Below are 13,422 nucleotides of genomic sequence, written 5' to 3'. Positions count from 1 at the left end.
TGATGAGAATTGATACAAAAATCCTCAACAAAATACTAGCAAACTGAATTGAACAATAAATTTAAAGATCTCTCATCATAACCAAGTTGGATTTATCCAGGGATGCAAGGATAATTCATCATATGCAAATCAAACAATGTAATACACCATGTCAACAGAATAAAGTACAAAAACCATGTGATCAGTTCAATTTATGCTGAGAAAGCATTCTATAAAATTCAACATCCTTTGTGATACAAACCCTAAAAAAACTGAGTAAAGAAGGAACATATCACAACACAAGAAAAGTCATATTTGACACACATACAGCTAGTCTCACACTAAATGGGCAAAAATTGAAAGCTTTTCCTCTAAAATCTGGAACATGACAAGGATGCTCACTTTCACCACTGTAATTCAACATAGTAATGCAAGTCCCAGCTAGAGCAATCAGACAAGAGAAAGAAATAAAGGGCATCCAAATTGGAAAGGAATAAGTTAAGTGATCCTTGTCTGCAGATAATATAATCTTATATTTGGTAACACCTAAAGACTCCACAAGAAAACTTTTAGAACTGATAAACAAATTCAGTAAAGTTGCAGGATACAAAATCAACATACAAAAATCAGTAGCAATTCTATATGCCAACAGCAAACAATCTGAAAAAGAAACCAAGAAAGTAATCTCATTTACAATACCTACAAATAAAGCAAAATATGCAGAAATTAACTTAACCAAAGAAATCAAAGAGGTCTACAATGAAAACTATGAAACACTGATGCATAAAATTTAAGACACAGAAAAATGGAAAGATATTTTATGTTCATATGCTGGAAGAATCAATATTGTCAAAATGTCCATATTACCAAAAACAGTCTACAGATTCAATACAATATCTGTCAAAATACCAATGACATTCTTCAGAGCAATAGAAGAAACAATTGCAAAATTTATATTGAACCACAAAAGACCCAGAATAGACAATGCTATTGTGTTAGTTCATTCTCACACTGCTAATAAAGGCATATCCTAGACTAGGTAATTTATAAAGGCAAGAAGTTTAATTGACTCACAGTTCCACATAGCTGGGGAGGCCTCACAATCATGGTGGAAGGTGAGTGAGGAGCAAAGGCATGTCTTATATGGTGGCAGGCAAGAGAGCGTGTGCAGGAGAACTCCCCTTTATAAAACTACTAGATCTCGTGAGACTTATTCACTATCATGAGAACAGCACAGGAAAGATCTGCCCCCATGATGCAATTATGTCCCACCAGGTCCCTCCCACTGCACTTGGGAATTATGGCATTACAATTCGAGATGAGATTTGGGCAGGGACATAGCCAAACCTTATCAGCTATCCTGAGGAAAAATAACACTACCTGATTTCAAATTATGCTGCAGAGCTACAGTAACCAAAACAACATGGTACTGGCATAAAAACAGATACATAGATCAATGGAACGGAATAGAGAACCCAGGATTAAATCTATACATCTACAGTGAACTCATTTTTGGCAAAAGTGCCAAGAACATAAATTGGGGAAAGGACAGATTCTTCAATAAATGGTGCTGGGAAAACCAGAAACGCATACACAGATAAATGAAACCATACTCCAATCTCTCTCCATATACAAACATCAGATCAAAGTGAATTAAAAAACTCAAGTATAAGATCTCAAATCATCAAGCTACCAAAAGAAAACATTGGGGAAACTCTCCAAGACATTAGACTGGGCAAAGCTCTGCACAGTAAAGGAAACAATAAACAAAGAGACAATCCTCAGAAAGGGAGAAAATATTGGCAAACTGTATGTCTGACAGGAGATTAATAACCAGAATAAACAAGCAGCTCAGACAAATATATATGAAAAAAATCTAATAATCCAATAAAAAAAGGGCAAAAGAGCCGGGCGTGGTTGCTCACACCTGTAATCCCAGCACTTTGGGAGGGTGAGGTGGGTAGATCATGAGATCAGGAGTTCGAGACCAACCTGGCCAATATGGTGAGACCCTGTCTCTACTAAAAATACAAAAATTAGTTGGACGTGGCAGCGTGCGTTTGTAGTCCCAGCTACTTGGGAGACTGAGGCAAAAGAATCGCTTGAACCTGGCAGGTGGAGGTTGCAGTGAGCTGAGATCGTGCCACTGCACTCCAGCCTGATGATGGAGTAAGACTCCATCTCAAAAAAAAAAAAAAAAGTAGGCAAAAGATATGAACAGACATTTCTCAAAGGAAGACTTACGAATAGCAAACAGACATATAAAGAGATGCTCAACATCACTGAACGTCAGAGAAATGCAAATCAAAACTACAATGGGATATTTCTCCCCAGTTAAAATAGTTTTATCCAAAAGAAAGGCAATAAATGCTGGCAAGAATGTGAAGAAAAGGGAATCCTTATACACTTTTTGGTGAGAATGTAAATCAGTACAACTACTGTGGAGAAGACTTTGGACGTTTCTCAAAAAACTGTCAAAAGATATCTACACTCCCATGTTTACTGTAGCTCTAATCACAACAGCCAAGATGTGGGAGCAACAAAGTGTCTATCAACAGATGAATGGATAAAGAAAATGTGGTATACATACACAATGGTGTACTATTCAGCTATAAAAAGTGAGATCCTGTCATTTGCAACAACATAGATGGAACCTGAAATCATCATGTTAAGTGAAACAAGCCAGGCACAGGAAGACAAACTTTGCACATTCTCACTTATTTGCAGGTAGTAAAATTTAAAACAATTGAATTTATGGAGAGAGAGAAAGTAGAATAATTGTAACCAGAGGGTGGGAAGAATAGTGGGGGGTAGTAGGGATGGTTAAGGAGTACAAAAATATAGTTAGATAGGATAAATAAAATCTAGTATTTGATAGCACAACACAGTGCCTAAAGTAAACAATAATTTACTCTACATTTTAAAATAACCAAAATGATAAAGCTGGATTGTTTGTAACACAAAGAAAGGATAAATATATGAGGTGATGGATATCCCAATTATTCTGATGTGATTATTATGCATTGTATGCCTGTATCAAAGTATCTCCCATACCCAATAAATATGTATATCTACTATGTTCCCATAAAAATAAAAAATAAAAAAGAATTTCTCCTTGATTTTCAGCATTTTAACTATAGTGAATTGAAGTGTGACTCTCCTTGTGTTTATCCTACCTGAGGTTTGTCAAGTTTCTTGAATCTATAGATCTTTTTTTTTATACATGTGATAAGCTATGGGCCATTCATTCTTCAAAAACATTATTTTTGCTACTTACTCTCTCATCTCTCTTTCTGACACCCCAAGTACATTTATATTGTTATGTTCCATATTTTCCCCAGATCTCTGAGGTTCTTTTATTTGTTCTTTAATTATTATTATTTTTTCATCAAATTGAATAATTTCTGTTTCTCAAGTTTAATGCTTCTGCCATTTCAAATCTATTATTGAAACTGCTTAGTGAACTTTTCATTTCAATTTATTGTAATTTTCAATTATAAAATATCCATTTAAAAATCTCTTTCTTTATTGAGATTTTCTATTGTTGAGTCATTGTTGGGATATTTTCCTTTAATTATGTATTTATTCATTTATTTTTTGTGGAGATGGGATCTTGCTATCTTGCCCTGTTTGGTCTTGAACTCCCGGGCTCAAGCGATCCTCCCACCTTGGCCTCCCAAAGTGCTGGGATTACAGGTGCGAGCCACTGTGCCAGACCACTTTTATTATTTAAACATGATTTTTAAAATTTTGGACATTTTGATAATTAATACTTTGAAGTCTTTGTCTGATAAAATGTACAATACCAATTAGAGACAAATATCTATTTATTAATTTTTTCTCCCCTTGGAGTTTGAGTCACACTTTCTTGTTTCTTTGCATGTCTCATTTTTTGTTGTCGTTGAAAACTGAATATTTTAGATAATATATCTCAACTCTGGATTCTGCATTCCCTCCACCCCCCGCCCACCAGCCTCCTGTCAGTTGTTACTCGTTTGCTTTGTTTTGTGTTAAAATAATTTTCTAGGTTTAATCTTGGCTTCTGGTCGCTGAAGTCTCTGCTTAGTTTTTTTTTTTTAATTCTGCTTTTATTTTTATTTTATTTTTTATCCTGGGCTGTTAGAGGTCACCTATAAGTCTGCATAACTTAGTGGTCAGTCAATGACTGGTTAGAGGTTTGCTCAAACACCTTGCTATGGACTGCATGTTTGTGTTCCCCCCAAATTTATATGTTAAAATCCTAACCGCCAATGTGATGGTATCAGTGGATCCCTTATAAATGTTATTAGTACCCTCATAAGAAGAGACATGAGGGATTGGTTTCTGTCTGTCTCTACCATGTGATGATAGAATAAGAAGCCAATCATCTGCAATTTAGGAAGTAGGCCCCCATGAGACACTGGATCTGCTGGTACCTTGATCTTAGATTTCCTAGCATCTAGAACTGTGAGAAACACAGGTTTGTTGTTTAAACTACTCAGTCTGTAGTATTCTATTATAGCAGCCTGAACTGACTAAGACACACCTAAAGCCAGTAAATCTCCTATCCTCTGCTATTGCACCTGTGTGGGGGTTATGGAGTACACTAAAAACTCAGGCAATTTGTAGATTATCCCTGGATCTTCTGTGCTCTCCAGATCTTTCTTGCCTAGGCATGCAGTCACCCAATGAGCCAGGGATGTTTGGAGAGCTTGGGCCCCTTAGTTTCTCTTCTGCTAGATGTGCAGGCTCCTCCTAGTCTTGTGTAATGTAAAATAATCATGGGAATAACATCCTAGCACTTTTGCCATATAATATAATAAATCGTGGGATGGACATGTCATCTTTGTCATATTCTATTAGTTAGAAGCAAATCCCAGATGCTACTCACACTCAAGAGGAGAGGATTATGCAAGGGCATGAGTACTATAAGGGGAGATTATTGAGTTATCTTAGGTTCCATCCACCAATAGAGAAAGTTAATTGGGGCCCACAGTGTCTACATATTCTAGGATAGAAGATAAAAAAGTCATAAATTAGGAAGCTTTTCAGAGAGGACTGTTGAATCTCCAAACTGCTTAGAAGAATCACCTATACTCTTTTAATTGTCCAGGAATGGTCTAGAGATAAGACTTTAGAAACTTTGGGTTTAATGATAGAGAAGGCTTATTGAATTAGGGTAAAAGAGGCACTATAAGATGCTGAAGTTTATTGTAAGTGGAAGGAATAAGCAAAATGAGTTGTTGAAGGAATAGTGAGATGGGAGGAGAGCCCTGGCTTTTCAGACTGTCTTAGCCAAATCTTCTTAGGTTACAACTCACTGATCAACAATTTTGAGAACATTAGCTTGTCAATTCATTGGTGAATTTTTTTGCATATTGAATTAACTAGGTTGAATGAACTGAATTAACCAAATGTTTGGGGCATCATATAGACAGAACTCCAATTTGTGGCTGTTGATAGTAATTGAAACAAGACAATTGGGGAGGGTGTTTGAACAGGCTGTAGAGTACCTTAGCATGTATTGATATTTTGAATTAGATTCATCAGCATACAATTTATTACTTCCTAAATTACACATCCGGATAATTGGGGCATATTATTTTATCCACAAATCCTAGATGCTCTAACTAGTGCCTTGTATAAACTTTTGAACTTGTCTTATTTAACTTTTTCATTAAGAACTTTCTTTGCAATAAAAAGTTTTCCATAGATCAGAAAAAACTTTTGTTTGATCACTAGACTAGAATGTGGATTTCAGAGATTAGTGGTGCAATCTAAGCTGAAATGACAGGAAATGAAAAAATGGTTTTGGACAGATGGGTTTTTATTTTCAAGAGTGCCAATTGCCTGAAATAAAAATAATCCCAATTAAGAAGGCATAATTTATCATGGATGTCCACAACATTGCAATGAAAATACTTTGAATATATCATAATCACAGACAACAGTCTTTGGAACCATAACTTTTTTTCTTGAAAGATTTTAATTTTGTTTAATCATGAAAATAGGCATCAAGATCTAAAACTTGAAATCTTCATGACATACTTAAATAACAGTCTGCTGCATTCCACCTTACTTGTTTGGATTGTTAAATTTAAGAAGGAAATTAAATTTATTGGTATTTCTTTAAAGACACTAGTGACATGAAAACCATTTACCTTTTGTCAGCCCCAGTCTGTCTCCATGAAGCTTAGGTTGGAGTAGGTTATGTTGGAACAGACTGTTGTCTGCTGAAAATGAACTCAGAGCTGCTATTTCCTGTTGACAACTGCCCTTTTCTCATCCCAAAGTCCACATTCATTTCCCGTGATAGAACTCAGAGCAAGGAATGACATCCCTGATGGATGTCCTTAACTCCTGTACCTCTCTCATTTAGACTTTTGGGGCAGAGAGAACTTCTGGAGCCTCAAGCAGAAGTCTCTACTTTGTCTGTAGCTTCACAAGAAGATGAAGCCTAATTTATCATTAAGCACAGAAAGATTATGGCTACCAAACCTGCAACTGTTGTCAATGCAAATAGCGTATCCTGTCAGCAGAGCGGGAGTCAAAAATGTCTGTGATGTCCTGTTTCATAAGACTGTGAGAGACAGGTTGGATGGCAATCTTCCAGTAAGAAGTAAAAATAGCTGAATATGTATGAAGAGTAGATACTCTGTGATACACAAGAGGCAGAACTAGTGCCAATAGATGGAAGTTCCAAAGTGATGGATTTTGAATGTAGAGGCACAAAATCGTTTTTACACTTAGAACAGTCCAATGATGGATGCGCCTGCCCAGAGGGTTAATTAGCTGCATTTTCAAGCAGAGGCTGCATCACCCTTTGTCAGGGACTAGCACTGTCTAATAGAAATATAATGTGAGTTGCATATATGATTTTGAATTGTCTAGTAGCCACATTAATAAATTTAAAGAAACAGGTAAAATTAATTTTAATAATATATTCTATTTAACCCAATATATCCAAAAGACTTTTAAGATATATAATCAATATAGAATAATTATGTATGATATTTTATCTTCTTTTTTGTACCAAGTTTTCCAAATCTAGTGTGCATTCTATACTTAAAGCACTCTCATTTGGACCTGCCACATGCCTTCTCTCTATAGCAACATGAGGCTGGTGGCTGTCACATTGGACAGCACAGCTGTAGATGATGTTCCTGCGTTGTGAGAAGATCGGTCTAGCAGACTTTAAATGTCTATTTCAATTAAGAATCCTAAGCTTCTAAGTAAATGAAAAATACTCAGAAGTTAAGAGACTATGTAGACACTGAAAACATTTTGGTGAAGAAATAATACTGGTAAGAGAAACTCTCCTCAAACTGATTTAAGAAAAAAAAAAGAGTTTATCGACTCATGTAATTGAAAAGTCCAAGGGTAGAGCTGGGTTGAGCATAACTGGATCCTCTGTCTGCCTGTCTGTATCTGCGTGTGTCTCTCTGTTTTACAGCCCTGCTTTCCTCTCTTGTAGGTGCTTTCCATGAGGTGGTCACCAGCCTCTTCAGGTGTATGCCCTCCTAATTCAGCAGCCTTGGAGGGGAGGTGAGAATTTATCTTCTCCAATAGTTAAGAGTCATTGAGTTGAAATGCAGGGACCAGTTTATCTCATATGACTATTCCTAAGCCAACTATTAGATCCAAAGCAAGAAATATGCTGACTGACAATTCCTGTGTCTCATGTCCAATCCAGAGCCTGGAGGATAGTGGGGTCAGCTCCATCCTAATGAGAACCCACCTTCACCATGCGGAGGGAAAGAATTAAGTGTGTAGCTCTCTAACTAAAAGGGAATTGAGGTACTATTATAAAAAGTTAGGGGAATGGAAACTGGCAGGCAAAGACAATAGATGTCCACTACTCCTTGCTGGATTCCCTGCTCCCTATTCTCATGGCCAATCTGCAAGTTAACCTGAAGCTATAATGGACAGTTTTCCTACATACTGGCTACTGTGATGCTCGCCGGGGTCGGGGGGTGGGGCTGAGGCTTATTCTGTCCCCAAGGGAACCTGCTCAAGCCCAAACCAGGGCATCCTGGAATGTCATAGGTTTAATGTTCTTAGAAAGCCCTCAACAAAATAGGGATGGGATTTGGTGGACAAGTAAATACTCCAGCTTCTTTGCCCCTCAGTGAGGAATTTCTGAGCTATATAGTACACACTCCAAATTGAGGGGAAAATCTCCAGGGAATTGAGCCCTGTCACTCATAGTGGATAAGGTTTTTTTGCTCAATAGCCTACCCTTTCCTGGGTTTTCTCCTTCCTTTCTCACTTGTGTGTCCTGGGATCACCTCCTACATCAATGATCTGCACTCAAGTCTTCATTTCAGCATCTGGCTCAGGAAAATAGCAACTAGGAACCCTCTCACCCATAAATTTCAAAGAAAATTGGAAGTGTCTTTTATATCTTATTGGAAGCCAATTCTGAAGTTAATCTTTATCAGAGAATCAAAATACAGAGGGGGTGTTTAGCAGACACCTGGTGGAGCCAGAGTACTGGTTTCAAATCTCAGTTCTGCCACTTGCTTGGTGTATGATTCTAGGCAAGCCGAATAGCATTTTCTTGCCTTAGTTTTCTTATTTGTGAAATGGAGCTAATAATAACATTGCTAGGAACATCAAATGAGTTAATAAAGTAGTTATTACGTTACTTGATTAATCATAAAATCTATTATATGCCTCCACTAATAGTTGTCAGATAATTTTTTCTCTTTTCCTCTGTGTTATTCTAATAACCAATAATCATCAGCATAGGACTGTGTCAACATGTTTTATATCTGTTATATTGAGATACGGAATCTACCCGGTTTAGTGCTAGGCCAAAGGTAAATCAATCAATACTTGATGTTGATGACTATAATGGAAATAAAGCAAGCAAGAAAGATTCAAGTAATTTGCAAAGTAGCATCAAAACAACTCAGCAATAAATATTCTGGCTTGATTTGATAAAATTTTAATTGTATTTTTAAAGTATATTTTTAAAATTATAATGAAATATTAATTGAATATGAATACTAATCTTATAGAAAGTCTTGTACTGAAGTGGAATATAAAATACTGAGTTTAATAGATGAAAAAAATTCATTTATAGTAATTATATATGCATACACACATACAGAATTATAGTTATATATTGACAATTTATACCTGGTACATATTTACTCGAATATGATTTAAAGCTTTCTTTTATTCAATTAAATCTAATAGAATCATCTGCAACATCAAGACAGATTTTATGATTAACCAAGGTAATGTAATTAACTTCTTATATAAAAAGGTATTGGATTATTGTTGACTCATCCTTTCTTATACCCTAGCTCCTATACAAATATAAATTCTGACTCAGTGGTAAGGAAAGAAGATAAAAACTGAATTTACCACATCTGCTCAAGAAAGAGCACCTTTCTAGATTAGGGGCAGGTGAATTCTGCTTAGGCAGGTCCTTTCCATCAATCTGAAAGTTAGAGGGGCTGAAGGAAGTACTAGCCAGGTTGAGAAGGGGTTCTAGAAATAAGAGAATGAAATCTTTCTATGATTTGCACACTCATGCTCTGATTTCCGTATTTGTTTTTCATCCAGTACCTGAATCTGACATAATTTCTTTTCTTTTCTTTTCTTTTCTTTTTTTTTTTTTTTTTTTTGAGATGGAGTCTCACACCATCACCCAGGCTGGAGTGCAATGGCATGATCTCAGCTCACTGCAACCTCCGCCTCCCGGGTTCACACGATTCTACTTCCTCAGCCTCCTGAGTAGCTGGGATTACAGGCACACACCACCACATACAGCTAATTTTGTTTGGTATCTTTAGTACAGACGAGGTTTCACTATATTGGCCAGACTGGACTCGAGCTCCTGACCTCGTGATCTGCCCGCCTTGGCCTCCCAAAGCACTGGGACTACAGGCGTGAGCCACCACGCCTAGAGAACCTGACATAATTTCATGTTCACATGTAAGCACAGAATAATCTTCCAAAGCCCCACCTAAAAAATTATCTGATAATTGGATTTTCCTTCTGATAGTTAATTCCATTAATGAGAATAGCTTGAAAAGAATTTGTTTTCTTTGTCCAGTACATGTAGGACACATAAATCTCATGATTTGAGGATTTTGACCTGTATGACATTGTCAAGCAGACGAAATTTGCAAATTGACTCTTTATAACTCTAATATCTTTCCAACGCATGTATTTTAAAATGCACTTATTTCAAGCCTGGGGAACATATTGAGACCTTGTATCTACAAAAAATGAAAATACTAGCCAGGTATGGTGGCACACGCTTGTAGTTCTAGCTATTTAGGAAGGTAAGGTGGGAGGATTGCTTGAGCCCAGGAGTTCAAGGCTGGAGTGACTATAATCATGCCACTGCACTCCAGCCTGGGCAACAGAGCAAGGCTCTGTCTCAAAAAAAAATACTTATTTGTATATTACCTTTTATTCTATGTACTAACAAAGTAACCTCAGTAAGTACAGCAGTGTTGAGATACATCAGAACCAAGATTAATGCCCTCTCCCCAACACTGGCCACAGGACCTTGAACAAAATACTTATTTTCTTTATGTCCCAGTTTCTTCATATATAGAAATAATAAAGCCTACCTCACATTATTCTCAAGAAGATTCTGCAAAATAGTACTTCAAAGAAAGATACCAGGCACATGGAATATGTTCAGTACAGGGTAGCTGACAGAGCAGGAACATCACCATCTTGGACAGGCACTGCCATTTTAAAGTTCCTCTTGATCAAAAACCATCTAAATCCAACCCAAAGGGCATCAGCCAAATGGCTAAGGTCGGCATAATCATAAACCACAAATGACATCTCCAACTGGAAACATTCCAAACCTAAGGTAAACCCCTCCCTAACCAGAGACATGCCAGCCTGATATAACCTCCCCAACCAGAGAGATGTCAGCCCGAACCTCCCCTCTGACCAGAGACATTACAACCCCTCAATAAACTTCTCCTTCACACAGACACATTCCAAGCCTGTGATAAGTTTTCTTGCCCTGAACCCTTAAATACTCTTAGCCTGTAAGAGAGAATGTGCCTGACTGAAATCGGCCAGAAGCCCCTCTCAGGTTTATTCTCCAAAATAAACCTGTCTTTGACTGTTGAGCTGCTTTTCATATTTCTTTCCTCTTTCGTTAACTCTTAACAGTAGCTGTGATTCTTCTTCTTGTAATCATTGACTTCAAAATCCATGATAGCCAAGCCTTACAACACAGTTCCCTGCTTATTTGGATTAGTTTAGCTCATTAATTAAAAGCTTTGTGTATCCTGAATATTTTAATTGTTCACGTTTCATTGTCTGCAGGACTTCCTGATTATCTTTGTTACTAAGTAATAATTGTGTATTGCAAATATTTTCTTGAATTTATGTAAATCAATTTTAAATGAAAGAGCTGTTTACATTAATCAATTTAAATAAAGAATACCACTTCCCTGTAGCTTTCTTGTTAGCAGTTTTATTTTTAGTCAAAGGTAAATGCTGATACACACTAATTGCTTTAAGCCATTATGAAATGACAATCAATTCCGAACCACTGGAGTAGCCAGGTTTTCCAATCTGAGAAGGCATACTTTCTGTTTCTAGATGATACTTCTTTTTAGGCTGACTATATAAGTTTTTTTTTTTTTTTTTTTTTTTTTTTTTTTTTTTTTTTTGAGACGGAGTCTCGCACTTGTTGCCCAGGCTGGAGTTCAGTGCCTCGATCTCGGTTCACTGCAAGCTCCGCCTCCTGGGTTCACGCCATTCTCCTGCCTTAGCCTCCTGAGTAGCTGGGACTACAGGCGCCCGCCACCATGCCCGGCTAGTTTTTGTATTTTTAGTAGAGATGGGGTTTCACCATATTAGCCAGGATGGCCTCGATCTCCTGACCTCGTGATCTGCCTGCCTTGGCCTCCGAAGTGCTGGGATTACAGGTGTGAGCCACTGTGCCCAGCCTATATAAGTTGTTTGATAGATCTAGAAAGATTTCTCTAATTATTGAATTTTTTTTTTAGTCTGTGTTTGTACTGTACTTTTTATTCAAGTTTAAAAAAGATACAAGCTACCAGTGGAGCAAAATCTCTCAACTCTGTCATCTCAGTAAGCAGCAGTATCATCTATCCTGTTGCTCAGATCCAAAACCTAAGCCTCATCCTCTTTTTTCCTTTACCTAACATACCACTTCCTCTTTTCCTGCAAGAACTGTTGTCTAGGCATTTCTATTTCTGCTGCTACCACCAAAGCCAATCTACCATCTTCTGTCATGTGGTCTACTGTGATAGCCTTGTTCTCTCCAATCCATTCTCTTGAGTAGTTCCAGAGTTGCTTTCCTAAATTTAGAATATGCCATTCTTCTGGTTAAAATATGGTGACACCATCCTAATGTCTTAAATTGTGTGTCACATCTTCTTTAACATCTACTTACTTCTCTAATTTCATCTTCCATCACTCTTTTCTTTACTTGCTAAGTTCTACCCATATGAATTTTTGTTTCCCTTGGAATATTCTTAGCCCCAGTATTCAAATGAGTTCATTTCAGCTCAAATGCCATGTTTCTTTTTGTTTTTTGTTTTTTTTTTTTGAGACAGAGTTTTGCTCTTGTTGCCCAGGCTGGACTGCACTGGCCTTATCTTGGCTCACTGCAACTTCCACCTCCTGGGTTCCAGCTATTCTTCTGCCTCAGCCTCCCAGGTAGCTGGGATTACAGGTGCCCACCACCATGCCTGGCTAATTTTTATATTTTTAGTAGAGACGGGATTTCACCATGTTGGCCAGGCTAGTCTGGAACTCCTGACCTCAGGTGATCCACCCGCCTCAGCCTCCCAAAGTGCTGGGATTACAGGCGTGAGCTACCATGTCCAGCAATGCTACTTCCTAAGAGAAGTCTGCCTAGGCTATTCTGATAAATATTAACTAAACTAATTTGATTATTTACAATCATAACATCTTTTTTGGGGGGAGTAGATATCTAGAGGAAGTAAAGGGCCAAATTGTTTCTCTCCCACAACCTAGCTACCAGAAATCAAGTAAGTCTCAATATAAACTCTGTCTTAACACATACCGATATTTATTAGCAAGCAGCATAAAAGCAGTTACAAAACCTATTCTGCAAGCTTGCTAAAGTCCCAGCTGTCTGTTCTTTTCGGCAATATGAAGAGCTGCTTCTGACAATATTCTAATAGAAGATGCAGCCATACTTCCAACTGGAGTCAGGCAATGGAATCCTCAATTATCTGAACAAAGCATAGGGCCAGAAGCTCACTGCATTCAGATGCTCTGTGAAGGCAAAGCAACTAGGAATGCCTGAAGAATACATCCAGTCAATTCATTTAACTTGAGATCCATTCATCTGACCAAGATAACATCGTTTCTGATACTCAATATACTAAGTAAACACTTCTTGGTGTTGATCAGGGAGTGGATGCTAAAAGCTTTTAGAAGCTGTCTCTGACATGTGGGCTTTTGTTTAGAGTCCTT

General features: G+C 37.4%; 1 protein-coding gene across 4 annotated transcripts in view; it reads right to left on the bottom strand.

Moving 5' to 3' along the window:
* The window catches only part of NKAIN3 (sodium/potassium transporting ATPase interacting 3), a 750,799-nt gene that overhangs the window by 224,810 nt on the left and 512,567 nt on the right, over nucleotides 1-13,422 (bottom strand). The gene's annotated exons all lie outside the window — the stretch shown is intronic.

Source organism: Homo sapiens, chromosome 8 (genome assembly GCF_000001405.40).
Source record: "Homo sapiens chromosome 8, GRCh38.p14 Primary Assembly".
Classification (NCBI taxonomy): Eukaryota; Metazoa; Chordata; class Mammalia; order Primates; family Hominidae; genus Homo; species Homo sapiens.
Note: the sequence above shows the minus strand (reverse complement) of the source record. Positions and strands in the feature narration are given on the sequence as shown.